At 39.3% G+C, this 17,622-nt stretch overlaps 2 protein-coding genes across 17 annotated transcripts in view; one reads left to right on the top strand and one right to left on the bottom strand.

Moving 5' to 3' along the window:
• The window catches only part of ANKS1B (ankyrin repeat and sterile alpha motif domain containing 1B), a 1,250,151-nt gene extending 1,249,264 nt beyond the window's left edge, over positions 1 to 887 (top strand). For 10 of the 11 annotated variants that reach the window (XM_006719514.5, XM_006719507.5, NM_020140.4 and 7 more), the window contains one exon: positions 39 to 887. In XM_006719514.5, the coding sequence (XP_006719577.1) occupies positions 39 to 113 (75 nt within the window). In that variant the 3' untranslated portion in view covers positions 114 to 887. The remainder of the gene's footprint in view (positions 1 to 38) is intronic. The other variant, NM_152788.4, reaches the window with a different exon arrangement.
• APAF1 (apoptotic peptidase activating factor 1) overlaps positions 240 to 17,622 on the bottom strand; it is a 90,144-nt gene continuing 72,761 nt past the window's right edge. For 5 of the 6 annotated variants that reach the window (NM_181861.2, NM_181868.2, NM_013229.3 and 2 more), the window contains 5 exons: positions 12,361 to 12,480; positions 11,909 to 12,034; positions 10,133 to 10,258; positions 8,357 to 8,500; positions 240 to 3,253 (listed from right to left, as the gene is read on the bottom strand). In NM_181861.2, the coding sequence (NP_863651.1) occupies positions 3,107 to 3,253; positions 8,357 to 8,500; positions 10,133 to 10,258; positions 11,909 to 12,034; positions 12,361 to 12,480 (663 nt within the window). In that variant the 3' untranslated portion in view covers positions 240 to 3,106. The remainder of the gene's footprint in view (positions 3,254 to 8,356; positions 8,501 to 10,132; positions 10,259 to 11,908; positions 12,035 to 12,360; positions 12,481 to 17,622) is intronic. The other variant, NM_181869.2, reaches the window with a different exon arrangement.

The raw sequence follows: 17,622 nt of genomic DNA, 5'->3' as shown, positions 1-17,622 counted from the left end.
AACTAAGTGAATAAATAAATGAATTCTCTTTTTTACAGGATCTTCTTCATGCCAGCCATACCGGGCAGGAACCATCAGAGAGACACACTGAGGAGGCACTCAGAAAATTTTGATAGAATTGAATTTACATATAGCTGATAAAGCCTAAATAGAAAGGTTGATGTATTTAGCTTGAATCCTTCACTTTAGTGGTCTAATCAACAGATAAATGACAAGCAAAGAATGAAACAATCCAAAAATGTTTTTCAAAACAATTTTGTGAATTTTATTTTTACAAAAATTTTTTAAATTCATATTTTAAAATGTATACCAAGGCAAAAAAATCATATAAGCTATATCATAAATACAAGAGTTTCAAAACATACAAGAGACATATAATGTAAAAAAAAATTATATATATGAAGTCCAATGTAATTTATAATACAAAAAAATACAGCAAGGGAAAATGCTTTAGAAATGCTCATCTGCAAACTACAAAACAAAATCCTCCTCTTGACCGACTGCATGAACTGCCATGAAATTTGCAGCTCCATCATACTAGGTATCTCTTCTTTCTTCATGTTACCTTGTCTTTCTTCCCATTTTTCTTTTAAGACAGGGTCTTGCTATGTCACCCAGGCTGGACTCAAACTCCAGGGCTCAAGGAATCCTCCTGTCTTAGCCTCCCAAGGAGCTGGGATTACAGGCACGTGCCACCGCACCTGGCTCCTAATTTCTTTTTAAGACAAGGGCCATTCAAGGCTTTTTAAAACCTGATGTGTGTTGTTATACTTTATAACAGTCAGTGGCTTTTAATTCCAAAAGGTAATACTTTATACTCTGCCTACATGAGATGAGCCCCTAACAGTGTGTACAAATAAAATTATGATTTGGGTATTCTAAGGAGACATACCATTTACAGAAATTTCTTTTGATAAAATTAAGGTTTCACTTTTCACATTTGCTTAAATCACAGTAAGCCTGTAAACTAGCTCCTTGACCCACCATTTAAAAACAAAAAACCTCCTTAACAATGCAAAGGATTGTATTCACTGTATTTATGATTCCATCAAAGGCTAAATAGCTTATCTAAAATACATCTGAGTGATCTATTCCCTTACCCTCTCCCCGACCTACCCCACAGTTATACTAATATGCACCAACAATAAAAACAAGTTATCTACTATTAACACTAGTAATCATTTGATTTAGTTCCAGTTACAGAAACAAAAAAAATCTTTGAATTTTGATTATATTTTCTGGGAACCACATCTACTATTAATTTATCTCCATTGCCCTTAATAATATATTTCAGAGAAAATGTTTCTTTAGATTTACGCTTCAACTAAAGTTCCTGATCAGGAGGTCAAAAATAGCTAGTTATTGAGTTTTTTCCCCTGTCAAAAGCTATTTTTCCTGATTAACCTTGGAGATAAAAGAAGAGAAAGGAAAGAAGGAAGGAAAAGAGGATGAGAGAGACAAGGGAAAGGAAAATAGGTTGGCTGGAAGGTTAATCTTCTAGAGTTACAGTGACTCATCTGGAATTACACAGAAAACCAGAGAATTCTCTTGAAATTCATTAAAAGAATGGCATTCACAATGCCATTCATCTAAAAGTAAATGGAATTAGATGAAAATTGTTCTATTTCACATTTCTTAGAAAAATCTTATTAAGGCTTATGATTAAAATTGGCCCCACCTCAATGACTAACATTTAGCAGTGGAGAAACTGCTTTTTAAAAAAGAAAAAAGTGAGGATTAGGAAAGATCAGGTTTCATTCAAGTAAGAAGTCTGATATGTAAGAAACAAGAGGGAGCAGGAATAGTGTCCAACTCAGATACTGACAACTAGAGTCCAGATATGGCACAGGGCTGCCAGCAGCTACAGTGAGAAAAGGGTAGACCAATAAAATCTACTCTTTCCAACATACAAGTTTTACTTCACAAAAAGAACTGCTGAAGGCCAGGCCAGTGGCTCATATCTGCAATCCCAACACTTTGGGAGGCTGAGGCAGGAGGATTACTTGAGGCCAAGAGTTCAAGACCAGCCTAGACAACATAGTGAGACCCTGTCTCTACAAGAAAACTTAAAAATTAGCTGGGTGTGGTGGCTCGTGCCTGTAGTCTCAGCTACTTGGGAGGCTGAGGCAGGAGGATTGCTTGAACCCAGGAGTCTGAGGCTGCAATGAGGTATGATTATGCCACTGCACTCCAGCCTGGGTGATAGTGCAAGACCCTGTCTCCATTAAAAGAGAAGGGGCCTGGCCAGGCACGGTGGCTCACGCCTGTAATCTCAGCACTTTGGGAGGCCAAGGCGGGTAGATCATGAGGTCAAGAGATCGAGACCATCCCGGCCAACATGGTGAAACCCCGTCTCTACTAAAAATACAAAAATTAGCCTGGCATGTGCGCACACCTGTAGTCCCAGCTACTCGGGAGGCTGAGGCAGGAGAATTGCTTGAACCCAGGAGGCAGCGATTGTGGTGAGCCGAGATCGCGCCACTGCACTCCAGCCTGGCAACAAAGCAAGACTCTGTCTCCAAAAACAAAAAAAAAAGGTGGGGGGGCCTGCTAAATCCAAGACTCACTTATTGAGTCAATTAAAGGAAATGCTGCAGACTATGCACACAGACACAATATTTTTAAAGCAAATTTAAAGAGTGCAAAAAACCTCTAAGATTGTATTTAGGAGAACAAAACCCCCTTGGGGTAAGTGTGGTTCAAAAAGCAGGCCACTGCTACCCTGAGGCACAGCCTGCATAACAGTAATAAATACAGACAGTATTAAAATACCAATTTCTTCCAAATTCTTCTCATTAATTATGTCAACCATTTTGAATGCATCAAGACAGAATTTTACCAACAGTACAACAAGGTATGTATTCACATTTTCATTTGCATCCTAAGGACAAACTGTTAATGATGATCATGAAAAACAAGATTAAAGGTATGTTCATTTGGGAAAAAGCTACATTAATATTATTCATCCAACCACAAACACTTTTGTAATGAATGCAATACTGCACAACAATTAAGAGCTTTATAAAAAGTTGATATCAGGGTTTCATTAGAATTTTTTTCCAATTCAAAAATTTAAAAAGTTCAACTACATTAATGCTTAACTATTTTATTCTAAAGTCTGTAAAATATATAAAATACCAAGATTATCCACAGTCACATATGTTTTGAAGTCAGGGGACACGTGTATTTTCTTAAGATTGGTTCCATTTGTGTAGAAGGTCTGTGAGGATTCCCCAGTGACAACGTTCCACCACTGTTCAGAGAAAAATAAAATTCTCATTAGATTGGTAATTACACTGTGTGACAATTTATAGTGCCAGCAGATCCTTTACCCTATCTCCTCCCCCCAACCGAACTCAAGCAAACAGGAGGAAAATGTCTCGGATTTAATGCTGAATATACTATTCAACCTGGTCAGCCTCTTCCTGATGAACACTGGTGATGGCCTCACTGCTCCGCCTACACCCAACTCCAACCGTTGAGTTGTGCTGGAGAAACATGCAGCCTGCTTGAGAGCTGCAGACAGGAAGCTATAGAGTCCATTACAGCAGTGGCCAGACTCAACTCTCTTGTCTGCATGTCCTTCTCGGGAGAATGGGCAGAAGATTCCCCCTCTCTTCACTCAAATGCCCCTTTGCAGACACAGACTGGTATTCTGACAGAGACCCAAACTATTCATAATATGGGCTACAGGAAACAATGTTCTCTCTACTGAATCTTCCCTTTCCCCAGGTGTGATGCAAGAGCCCTTGACCAAGTTTCTTTATAAAATAATCTATATTATTTATTTACTAAACAAATACTGAACATCTCAAACGTAGCAAGGGCTGTAGCCAAGTCCTTCCTTTCCTTCCCAATCACTGAATTTGCTTATAATATTTATATTCATTTAACAAATGGGAATCATAAAGTTTACCCATGAATCTCACAGCTAAAATGGGGGCAAGAGACAATACATGTAAACTTATTCTGAAAAGGCCTCAAGCTCACCATGATCCTGAGTATTATGAACACAGTAATAGTGTCACCCACCTTTGTGCCTATGGCAGTACCTAGCATTTTGTCTTTCCCATGTGAGTGGGTCAAGTAAGCATGTTCACTATTAGTAATAGTAACTGCTAAAAGTATACCCAATGGACTTTGGTAAACCTCACTGAACCAGCATGCACTAACTTGGGATTTTCCAGAACTCACAAGTTTGCTTTGTAAAATAACAGTGTAATCAAGCACATTCCACCAACCTGAGATTCATTTGTTTTCAGTCACTAAGGCTCTTAGAGATCACTTAGTTCAACTACCCGAAAAATGTACAGCACCAAGAACAAACCCTAATTACGGACTGTGGGTGATAATGATGTGTCAATGTGGATCCATCAATTGTAACAAATGCACATCTCTGGTGGGGGGATGTTCATAATGGAAGAGGCTATGTGTTTGTGGGGGAAAGGGGTATATGGGAAATCTGTGAAATGAGTTAGGTATTATCATTACATCAATTTACAGATAAGAAAATCAAGGCACAGAAGTTAAACAATCTTGTGCAAGGTCACAAAGCTAATGAGTGGCAGAGGCAGGCTTTGAACTCAGGCAGCCTATCTCAAGGCCAAAAGCCCACTCTCCTGACCATTACACTCTGCTGCCACCAAGTCATGGCACACCACCATTTATCACCATGTATTCCATACTTCAGATCAGCTTTCCCTTCATGCACATGAATTAATGTGAATTTCTTGTCATTCAGTATGTACTCTGTGGCATAATGCAGGTAAACAGCTAAATTATTTTTTCACTTATAAATAGGAATAATTTGGAAGTTAAGAACTTTTTAAGCTTCTGGATACCTACTTTATCTTACTGGCACTCAATTTATACAGCTTGGATTCTAAAGTAAACAGGCTCAAAAGGCCTATTTTCTTGGACACTACAGCAGCTGTTCCTTTTTACTTTTAATTTGCTCTGTGCTTTTGGATAGTCTCATTAACATGCTGGGTAGATGCAGGCTGGGCTATATCATAATCAGTTGAATAAGCTAGTAATCAAACCAGAAGGCAAAGGCAGCCTGATTGTCATTTAAATATACAAACTAAATACATAGGCTAGAAGTTCTTTCACCCTTCAGACATAACATCTATACTATGTAAACCTATTCTGCTGCTTTATTTCAAGGTTCCCCAAGAACTCTGCAAATATGGTCACTGATCTTTGTAACATCTTATAAACCAGACTCTCAATTATGTGATGGAATTCTGTGGAGGCCAGAGAATCAAATGATGTGGTCTCTAGAAACTTGGTGTCAAAGCTGAGCAGTTAAATTTGTCAGCAGCTAATATAGCCGAAGACTCCCCAGCTTCCAACACAGACAGCAATGACTCTCCTCTAAGCATCATCCCCAGAGCAGACTGAGTTCTAGTTTATCTTTACACTAAAGGAGAACAATTGGTGGTCATTTCTCAGGATCTCCTAATAACTGAATAAAGATGTAGGTTAATGCAACATTTTGTAAACAGAATTGTGTTTTCAATGAAACCTTGTAAAGGGATAACATACATCCTTTCTTTTTTAAAAAAATTTTTATTGATAATTAAGTTGTACATATTTTGGGGGTACATGTGATACAATGTGTAATGATCAAATTAGGATAATTGGGATATCCACCTCAAATATTTATCTTTTCTTTGTGTTGGGAACATTATAATTCTTCTAGCTATTTTGAAATATACAATAAATTGTTAACTATAATTTCCCTACTGTATTATCAAATACTAGAAATTACTCCTTTTGTTTATCTGTATTTTTGTACCCCTTAGTACATCCTTTCATAAAGCTAAAAACTGTCCTCTAATTTATCTTTTTTATAAGCTAGATTCTTATGGTGGTAAAATTGCAGCTGTGTGGGTCTCATGTAACCAAAACACCAGTCATTCAAATATTTCCAAACACTTATCCTGCCTTAGACAATTAATGAGAATCATCTCCTACACTTGAATGTTTTCAGTAAGAAATAACAGTATCATAAGATCTTATTAGGAATCAATTTTGAATGAAAAAGCTTTCAGAATGTCCAAGTGATCAGCCCAATATAGAGGAGTCCCCAGTCCCTGGGCCATGGACCGGTACTGGTCTGTGGCCTTTTAGGAACCCATCCGCAGAGCAGAAGGTGAGCGGCTGGTGAGTGAACATTACCACCTGAGCTTTGTCTCCTGAGAGATCAGTGGTGGCATTAGTTTCTCACAGGAGCAAGAGCCCTGCTGTGAACTGCACATGCGAGGGATCTAGCTTGTGCACTCCTTACGAGAATCTAATGCTGATGATCTGAGGTGGAACAGTTTAATCCTGAAACCATTCCCCGCTCCCCACTTCCTACCACCACCCCATCTGTGGAAAAATTGTCTTCCAAGGAAACCAGTCCCTAGTGCCAAAAAGGCTGGGGACCGCTGATATAGAGTATCATCTTCTACCACTTTTACAAGTAAACTGCTATTCAAAAGACTCACTTCAAGCATTCCCCTCCAGGTGAAGCCTCTGCTAACTCTCTGAGGTTGGTCTGGTCACTCCTCTCCTTTGTGCTTCCACCTCCCTCATGAAAGCATGTCCCAGACCCCTTCTAAACTTTAGGGACTTTATTGGTTTACCACCTGCTTCCCCCATAGACTGTAAGCTGCTGAAAGGCAGGAACCAAGCCATAAACATTGTGCCACAGAGCAGTAGCTTAGCACACACTGGACATTCAACACAGTCTTTTTGAGTGGATAGATAAAAGATACATCAAAAAAACACCAAAAATATGACCCTGAAGCACCACAACACATTCAAATTGCGGCCTCAATCACTAGTAAGTTTTAAAAAGCCAATTAGCTAGAGAAAGCAGAGGCAGAGACCTGGGTTTGAGTCCTGGCTTTTCTATTTACTAATTATGTAACTTTATTTTTGGTTTTTTTGTTTGTTTGTTTTTGAGATAGTCTCGCTCTGTTGCCCAGGCTGGAGTACAGTGGTGTGACCTTAGCTGACTGCAACTTCTGCTCCCCCGGGGTTCAAGTGAGTCTCACCTCTCAGCCTCCCAAGTAGCTGGGACTACAGGTGCCCGCCACAAAACCCAGCTAATTTTTGTATTTTTTAGCAGAGATGGCGTTTTGCCATGTTGGCCAGGCTGGTCTTCAACTTCTGACCTCAAGTGATCTGCCCGCCTTGGCCTCCCAAAGTGCTGGGATTACAGGTGTGAGTCACCACACCCGGCACTAATTATGTAACTTTAGGAAAGTTATAACCTCCATAGAAAATCATTTTCCTCATCTGTAAACCAAGAATGAAATTTAAGCCTCAAAAAGCTGGCTAGTAAGATGAGGGGAGTGAAGCGTTTTGTAAACTATAAAGCCATATACTGCTGCTATTATTATTACTGAAGAAATTTCAAAAATATGTTTTTTTAAAGATTTTCAACCAACATAGTTAATTGTGAATGACATGGAAAACAGAACTAAGTTAAACACCCAACTTGCTAGTCATTCTAATGCCCCAAGTTTAGTATGAGGCAGTATGACAGCTCTGGATTGAGGGCATCCCTGCCACTGTCACCAAAGCTTCCCCAAGATCTGAGGAAAGCAGTCTTGTGGATCTCAGTTTCATCACTACAAAATGGGGATAATAGTAACTGCCTTTTTTTTTCTTTTCCTTTTTATTTATTTTTTTAATTAATTAATTAATTAATTTATTTATTTATTTATTTTCTTTTTTGAGACAGAGTTTTGCTCTTGTTGCCTAGGCTGCAGTGCAATGGTGTGATCTCGGCTCACTGCAACCTTCACCTCCCGGGTTCAAGCGATTCTCCTGCCTCAGCCTCCCAAGTAGCTGGGATTACAGGCATATGCCACCACGCCCGGCTATTTTTTGTATTTTTAGTAGAGACAGGGTTTCGCCATGTTGGCCAGGCTGGTCTCAAACTCCTGACCTCAGGTGATCCGCCCACCTTGGCCTCCCAAAGTGCTAGGATTACAGGCGTGAGCCACCGTGCCTGGCTTTTAATTATTTTTTAAAGTTTTTTCTGGTTCTTTTTTGTTTTCAATATTTTTTTCTGTTCTTTTCTTTAGTTACTAAACTCATTTTACTGCCAGATTTTTTTTTTTTTTTTTGAGACAGGATGTCGCTCTGTCACCCAGGGTGGAGTGAAGTGGCGCAAGCATGGCTCAAAGCAGCCTTGACCTCACAGACTCCAGCGATCCTCCCACCTTAGCCTCCGGAGTAGCAGCCTTTTTACTCTGCTGGGTTGTAAAAGGCCCAACTGAGAAACAGGAAGTGAAAATAGCTTGGAAAGTATGATATAGGCTATTATTTTCTTTCACAGTTCTTGGGGAACTCTTACCTTAATATATCCTCCAGCAGAGATAAGCATTTTGCCATCTGGAGAAAAGCAAAGGTCAGTCACCCAGCCTCCATGGGTAGCAGCTCCTTCTTCTGAAAGCGGAGCACACAAATGAAGAAGCTCACCGTTTGAGACATTCCATATCTACATAAACATGATACACAATTCATTAACAGAGTTATCCAGAAGCTTCTCTGGTTTTAAAACATATATATGTCCATATATATGTATTCTAAAATTATTTTACTAGACTTTATTATAAACAACCCTAACACAGATACTAATATTGCCATTTATTTCCAGTGGCATTTAATATATAAGCAGTGCTCTAATTTTTCAAATAAAGGTACACCAGAATAAGAAAAAGAAACAGAGGCATAAATGGTAAAAGAAAATTAAACAATCATTTGTAAATCTCTCCCTAGAAAATCCAAGAGAACCGAATGGAAAAACTCATTAGAAACAGTTCAGTAAGGTAGTACATATACAAACAAAAATCAGTAACTTTCCTATATTCTGAATAATCAGGGAGAAAAAAATTTTTTTAATGTACCAACAAAAATTTTTAAAATAACACAATTTTAATGGAGACAACTTTTTCCTGCAGTGGTTGAAAAATGAAACACCGCCTCATAACTGGGAAAGGAGCACTTTCATCCAAAGACGCGAACTCAGAGCAAAATGAACATTTCCAAAGCAGCCCTGCCACTTCAGCTGACACACATTTATGTGACTGGTAGAGAGAAGGTTGGTTACTTAGTCCTCAAGAAGAAGAATCTTAATTTCCCTGGAAAGCCCATCTGATAACACCTCTGTTCCTGCAAACTGTATACTCTCCTAGTCTTCTGCACTATATACCTGTTCCTGGAGTTTTAGATCCTCCTTTGTAATGAAAGGGGGAAAACCCCATCTTCCTCATCTACACTGGTTACCAAAGTAGTCATCCCAATACCCAAACTTTTCCAATCGGCTCCCCAATTCTTCTGACACAACTAGGTCAACTGACTCCTTTTCCATAATTTCTAATCTTTCAGCATGCAATTCTTTCCATATGGTACTATATTTCCACAGACACAGAGAACAACATTCTAAGCCTCCTAAAAAGATTGTTTTCTAAAAGTCAAAATTATATATCTAAAAAAAATAGATTGTTTTCTAAATAAAATTGGCATGGTTTGTATGTATATCTTAAGCACTGCAGGGTAATAAAAACTGGCCTAGCATGCAGACTGTGACTCAATTAGGAGCCCTTCGCTGCCCCACAATGACGGAAATGTGAACCTCTGCACTGTTTAACAGGCAGGCAGTCCACAGAGGACTGCAACAAACCACACTGGAAATGGCTATCAAATGGGTATAGTGCTAAAGAGATCTTTTCTTTCAGCACAGAAAAAGCAGAATTTGCAATTCATTTATAATCCAGACCATAATTTACAAAATTATTTTCCTCAAATTCTGCTACCAAAAACCTTTGGTTCAAGTCCAAGAATTAAGATGAATCATTCTCAAGCTAATGGCAGAGAATGAACTACAAATGACTAGAGCACTTGCTTCCTCACATATACAGGGAATGCTTCACTCTAACTCTAAAATGAATCCGTTTCTGCAGTGGAGTGCAGCTGTGAATACAATGTGCACAAGAAACAAAAAGAATGCCTCATCCAACCACAACTTCAGGACTATGCTTCCCTGGCCCGTGAACAAAGGTCCCCACTGTGAACAGTGCTAGCCCAAGCTACAAGAAGAGCAGTGCTCTCATGTCAGCAAACAGCCTACCCTGATTTCTCCATTGTCATCTCCCGTTGCCAGCAGGGTACTGTCCACAGAGAAGGCAGAGCAGCGCACACAGCCGTTGTGGCCCCTCAATTCATGAAGTGGCAAAAGGAGATCAAAACTCCAGATCTGGAAGGCAATTAGGATTGTTTAGCAATGCTATAAACACTCAAAATAAGCATCTGCCTTGATTGCTATTCAGCCATAAATTCAATCACATGGACATTCTAATATCTGGCAATTCATAAACTGTCATGAGATGCCCAAGTTCCAGCATGCAACCTTGTTAATTTTTCTGAGTTTCCCTTTATTTACTCAAGTTAAATTCAGCTCAAGGATCAATGTCACTCCTTCCTTAATTTAGACCTAGACAGAAGAACACTGAATCAGCTAAGAGCAGTCTGTGGAGTGAAGCAGACCTGAATGTGAGTGCTAGCTCCACTGTTCACTAGATTCTTGTGACTAGGACAACTCATATAAGCTTCTATAGCTTCAGACACGGCATCTGTAAAATGAGGACAATTGTACCTATGATGTGAAGATTAAATGAGATTATAGAGAGTGAAATTACTAGCATGTGACAAGTAATCTTTAAATGTTAGTCACTATACTAGCCTACTTCTTGGCAGCCAAATGCTATTTTTTTTTTCTTTCAATATTGTCTCATGGTTTTGTCAACATCATTTAGCAACCACATACTGAAAACTACCAAGTTCCAAGCGCTGTGAGCTAAGAACTAGTGGTACAAGAAGATAAACTAGCTACAGTCACTATCCTTGAAAAGTTTATAGTTTAATCACAAAGACAGGCTCACGAACAGTTAGTGAACAGTTGTATGAAGTAAATGTTCTAACAAATGAATAAAATGTAATAGAAACACTGGAGGTAGAGCAGCTAACCTTGCTTGAGGGTCAGGAAACGCTTCAGAAGAGCTGCCATCAAATCTAGGTCTAGAAAGATGAGTCATAATGCTTCAAGGTAAAAGAGTAGAAGGTTTATCAAACCAAAGTTAGCAGCATGCACAAAAAGATGAAGTTGGAAAGTAGGCTGGCACAGAGGAAACAATATAGCAGAAAAAGATGGTGAGGAGCTAAGTGGTTGGCCTATAAACCGTTAGGTAATAGGTGTTTCAACAAGGGACACAGGCAGTGGTATGGAAGATAAAGTGGAAGAGGTGCAGACCAGAGGCAGGATGCTGGGACAGTTCACCAGTGGAGGAGGAGGAAAGCATGCTCTTCAGGGTGGTGACAAAGAGGAGAAGATAACTCTAAGATGCACTAAAGAGTCATCAACAGAGCACAAAAGACAGGATACAGCCCTGACAATTCCAAGGTTTATAGTTTGGAAAGACTGGTAGAAGGAGAAAAAAGGAGAGAAGAGAGTACTTGAGGTCCCCCACCAAGCAGCATCATTCACCAGAATGTGATTTTAGACACACGTCAATTATATTACATTAATTATATTAAAATTGTATTGTCAGTGTATAATTAAATGTAAATGCTTTTCAATGATTTTTATTGCCTACAATATGCAGTAGAGGTTGCATTTGATTAGTTATAGACAAAAAGTAATCCATAAGGGAGAAATCAGAAGTCCTCAATGTATTTCATTTCATTCATTTGATACCAACTAAATGCCAATGGGCATCCTCCAAAAGATCACAAAATATGAAACAGACATGTAGAGAGCAACTGTTATGTCCTTTTGCATATATTATTTGAACTCATTATACATAACCACTACCAAAGTTTTATGCATGGTTTCAATTGATTGACCTACCTTTGCAGTCTTGTCAGCAGAGGTAGATGAAAACTTGGTAGCATCGTGAGAAATGTCACAAGAAAGTACTGTACCCTGGTGACAGACAAAGTCTTTTTCTTTATTTCCAGTAATAATATTCCATACCTTAAAAAAAAAAAAAAAACACTTGGAGGTTGACACTTTTAAGAACATTTTATATTAAAAAGCATAATCAGCTACAAGACAGGTCTATAAAACAAGAGTTTTAATACACTGGCTGTTCTGACCCCTTTACTTTAAATGTGACTAACAGTATAAATGCTCATTAAACACAGCAGATGTAGGTGACTGCAATTAACAGAAAACAAGCATGAGAAAAATTAAAAATTTTTAAGTAAGTAATTAGCCTCACAGTGGCTTTTGACTGTCTCAATATAATCATTGCAATATGAGAATACTTTTTCAAAAAACAAATTTATACTTTAAATTACCTTCACTGTTCCATCAAATGACCAAGAAAGCAGTCTTGAATTTTTCAAGAGTCTAAAGTCTTTCACTGTTTCCTGATGGCCTCGTAGAAAGATACATTTGTCCAATTGCCAATTCCATACCTGAATATCAAAGAAATAAGTCTGTTATAATCCTCCCCCGATCCTATCTCATTGGAGGGGTGGAGAGAGTGTACATTCTCTTGTCTAAAGTCTTTTACTCACATGGCATTTCAGTAAAACAGAGAGGAATAAGAGAGAAGACTGTGGTGTCCACATTTTACAGACAGAAGCTGCGGTTATGTAAATTGACTAGGGGCAAAATAAAATACTTTTCCTCCTAAATAAAATTTGTTTTCTTCAGTTGCTTGGAGAACAGTTAATTATACCAGAAGATAGAAAAAAAAAAACACACAATATGCCAGTGAGCTCACCATCTGATTAAATTTTCCTGAGAAAATTATCCTAATTACATAGTCACAGATTTCTGAACCTACAAGCTGGGGAAGTCTACAGATCCTGGCCCCACTGAAGCTGGCCTGGGAAGGCCAGTTGATCAAAGCAGCTTCAAACCAAAACACAAGAGTTCCCAAGCTTCAAATATCTCAGCTATCCCCCATCGCAATCCTCAAAATGACGGAAGTGAGAAGGCATTGTTTTTCATGTGGAGCTTCAGGAGGAGCTCCTCAGACATAAGGAAAGGGGTGGGGGGAATGAAATAACATGAGTAACTAGCACAAAATATGCATACAAACGTATCTGAGACACAGAGGTACACAGAAGTTTATTTTTATGCTATGTCTATGTAAAGGACATTTCTTAATTACTAAAAGCAACTGTATTTAGAGCTTTATTAATACTTGACTTCAAATTAACTTATTTAATAAATGTCTATTTAGTACCTATATGCAAGGCAAATAGGAATCAAACAAGGATCTAGCATAAAGAAACTTAAGAGTTTAGCAAAGAAAATGAGAAATACAACAACAAACCCAAAAAGTCCTACAATAGAAGATACAATGATAGAGATAAAAGTTCTGTGAAACTCAAAAAAAGTAATTCCTTAGAGAAAATTTGGAGATAGCACATTCAAAGTAGGCTTGAGGAATGGGTTTAAAGTGTGATTCACAAACTGAGAAGGGTTCTTCAAAGGGAATAAATGTTGGAGTTAAAGTATAGGAGCAGGGAAACGTGAAAAGGGACCTGCTCATGAGTCCATCTGACTAGAGCATAGGAGACGCAGAAGAAACAGAAGAGAAAAAAGGTTGGGAAGGTATCCAAAGAAACAGCCCCGTGGGCCTGATGAAGCTAAAATTCTGAGGTATGGGAAAACAGGCCAGCTCCAAAAGAATAAAAAGATAAAGAAAAAGCAGCCACAACTACAGGTATGCACATGAGTAACATTCTGAGTCTAGCTTTTTATTGGCCAATGCTAAACAGCAGAAATATCTTTAATCAGACCTAGGCAAAATCTTAAAATAAATGACATCTCTTATTCCCCTTTTTTTTACTTCTTTTTCCACCACATTTAGCAGTCGTCCTCCCCAACAAGCCCTGGCTTTCAGATCTCTCATCTTCTGCCTCAGAATGCTCATTCACAGAAGCAGGATATCAGGAGCATGGGGTCTTGTATGCAAGCAAGAGAACTTTAGAAGACGAACTGGAAGTGAGAGTAATTCTAAAGAGAATGAATTAGTAATTTTCATATTTTAAGAACCCAATGAGATATGCTGGGGGAAGGGGAAGAAATGGAGGCATTTCTGGCTTCCCAAATCATACCAGAGAGGAAGGGCACCCCATATGACTAAGCATAAAAGACCTTATTCCATTTCTACTAGGAAACTCCTGGCTCTCTCCTCCCGCTTTCTGGGCTTCACTGGACTGGAGGATCAATGGCTATGCTGAACAGCTCCTCCTAGTTTACAGACACTGCCTATTCTAGCTTTGCCTGATTCAATGTTCATTTCTAACTTAGTATCTTACTTCTGCCCTCTGCATCAAGAACTCAGACAGCCTTCTGGAGCAGATATAACAAAGAATTTGACAACCACTGAGGGCAGATTAAGAATAGCCTTTGCAGCTTTTGTTACAGAAGGTTTCTGACTAGGCAATGATGATGAGTGATTTGTTGTTGTTGTTGTTGTTGCACGGAAACACACTGTGCTAATTGAATAACCTTAATATCACTAAACTTCCACCACCATTAGTCAAATGCAAAAGTTGAGTTTGGGGATGTCTCTATCATTGACTATTTTTGCAATGTATATATACTTGTAGAATTTTTTTCAGCTATATGAATAAAATTTAAATTGTAGAAATGTTAAGGAAATTTTTTTTTTCTTTTTTTTTGAGACAGAGTCTTGCTCTGTCGCCCAGGCTGGAGTGTAGTGGCGGGATCTCAGCTCACTGCAAGCTTCGCCTCCCAGATTCATGCCATTCTCCTGCCTCAGCCTCCTGAGTAGCTGGGACTACAGGTGCCTGTCACCACGCCTGGCTAATTTTTTTGTATTTTTTAGTAGAGATGGGGTTTCACCGTGTTAGCCAGGATGGTCTCGATCTCCTGACCTCGTGATCCGCCCGCCTCGGCCTCCCAAAGTGCCGGGATTACAGGCGTGAGCCACCGCACCCGGCTGGAAACTTTTCATACCAGCAAGAACTAACATAGTCCTATATACTGGCTCATGTAAGCATGGGTAATACTTGGCCTTTATTTACTTCAAGGTAAAGGATCAAAAACTACCAAAGTAGACCTCAATGTTCACAATCCTAAGGGCTATAATCAGGTGAGCTGATTCTTCAAAGTTTGGCAATAACTTCAGCTCAGCAAAGATTTACAGAACCCTTACTGGATTCCAGGCTTTGGGGATACAAAGATAATTAAAACAAACCTCCACTTAATCATTTACAAAAACCTTAAAAAATGAAAACAAAACCCAACCAGTCATTTCTCGAAAATATCTATAGAGTTTTGTTACATTTAAAACACTGTAAATGTAAAAAGTATTCTGAGTAGAACAGAAAAAGAGGAAGAAACACAACTACTTAACTCATATTTCTAAATATAATCTAACTCCTTTTCTAAAAATATCTCTAGAAATTATTCTTCCCCCTAGCTGAGAATACCTGAAATCGTCAAGCTGGTCATAAAAACCTTATGAATTTAACTTTTGATAGAATACATAGTATACAATGTCTCAAAAGAACTTCATCAGATGTAGTTTTTAGTTTTACCCATTCCAAAGACATCTGGAGAGGAAGAAAGGTGACTATTACACTGAGTTTTACAGCTAGAACACCAGTGTCATGGGAGCCTATAACAAGTAAGTTTCTGTACTAAAGCCAAATTTCATTGCAATCATACTGCTTCCTAGGACTCACACAGACATAACATTAAAAGATCTTTTTCCCAAAAGGGTTTTTAACAATACAATTAAATATTGCCACCACAATTAATATATATACTAAATAAAAGAATATAATAATTTCCACTGAACATATGCATTCTATCCTTCACTTCTAAAGCCCTACTAAAATGGCAAGATCAAAAGAATGAGAAAGGAGATAACAGCAACAAAATGTGGGAGGCTGGAAAGCAAGAGAATGGTAACTGACTCAGCAAAGTCAAGAAAACAGAATCCTAAAGGCATTATAAAAAGTCAAAAGTGGCCAGGCGTGGTGGCTTACGCTTGTAATCCCAGCACTTTGGGAGGCTGAGGCGGGAGGATCACAAGGTCAAGAGATCGAGACCATCCTGGCCAACATGGTGAAACCCCAACTCTACTAAAAAAAAAAAAAAAAATTAGCCGGAAATGGTGGCACGGGCCTGTAGTCCCAGCTACTCAGGAGGCTGAGGCAGGGGAATTGCTTGAACCCAGGAGGCGGAGGCTGCAGTGAGCCAAGATCATGCCACTGCACTCCAGCCTGGCAACAGAGCAAGACTGTCTCAAAAAAAAGAAAAGAAAAGAAAAAGTCTAAAGCAACAAAATCGGCATTATGAACTCCCAAAATGCTCAAAAATGGAAGGCACTAAGTATACCCAAAGGAGGAAATGAGGGTGGGGCTAAGAATATAAGTATTAAGAATTAGGAGGCAGAGAATCCTAAGATAGCCACACAGTGTTCACCGAAAAGTGCAATGGAACAACTAGAGAAGAGCAGGAGACACTGAGTGTGAGGTACAGTCTGGAAGGACTGGAGCAGTGTGAGCCTTGTGAGCTCTCAAAATTAACCAGAACAACCCTACAGTGAGGAGAAACCACAGGGAATAGAATCCAATGGAGTAGAACGAGGATAAGGGCATCAAAGGAAAGAGAAGGTCGAAATAACTGAGAGGGAAGGAGATGGGGCAAAGAGATCTCCTAAGAACAAGGCCATTATATATTTGAGATGGGGACTTGCTCTGTTGCCCAGGCTGGAGTGCGGTAGCATGATCATAGCTCACTCCAGCCTGGACCTCCTAGGCTCAAGCGATCCTCCAACCTCAGCCTCCTGAGTAGCTGGGATTATAGGCATGCACTACCACACCTGGCTAAATTATTTTGTTTTGCAGAGATGGGGTCTCGCTATGTTGCCCAGGCTGGTCTCTAACTCCTGCCTCAAGCAATCCTCCCACCTCAGACTCCCAAAGTGCTGGGATTAAAGGTGTGAGCCGCTGCGCCCAGTAAGGCCATATTTTTAATGCCTCGTGAAAATAAGAGAACGAGCTGCAGAGCTGTGAAGCTAGAAATGCTGGACTTCCCCACTCCTCCAAGGAGTTTAGGAAACTTGATTTTACATAAAAAAGAAGGCCGGGCACGGTGGCTCACACCTGTAATCCCAGCACTTTGGGAGGCCAAGGTGAGATCACTTGAGATCAGGAGTTCAAGACCAGCCTGGCCAACATCGTGAAACCTTGTCTCTACTAAAAATACAAAAAAATTAGCTGCATGTGATGGCAGGTGCCTGTAATCCCAGCTACTCAGGAGGCTGAAGCAGAAGAATCACTTGAACCTCGGAGGTGGAGGTTTCAGTGAGCCGAGATTGCACCACTGCACTCCGGCCTAGGCAATAGAGCAAGACTGTCTCAAAAAGAAAAAAAAGAAAGAAAAAGAAAAGAAAAGAATTGCTGTTGAATCCCAAAGTTACTATGGGAAAAAAAGGAAGAAAGTAGACAGACAGTGACAGCAAACTAGAAAGAAGAATCTCTGAATTTAAGGGCACCAGCACAACTGAGGGTAGAATTACAATTCTGAGAATGAGGGATCAAGGGAAGGTGTACATACTAAAT

This window comes from Homo sapiens, chromosome 12 (assembly GCF_000001405.40).
Source record: "Homo sapiens chromosome 12, GRCh38.p14 Primary Assembly".
Lineage (NCBI taxonomy): Eukaryota > Metazoa > Chordata > Mammalia > Primates > Hominidae > Homo > Homo sapiens.
This window is presented reverse-complemented; position numbering and strand designations above follow the sequence as displayed.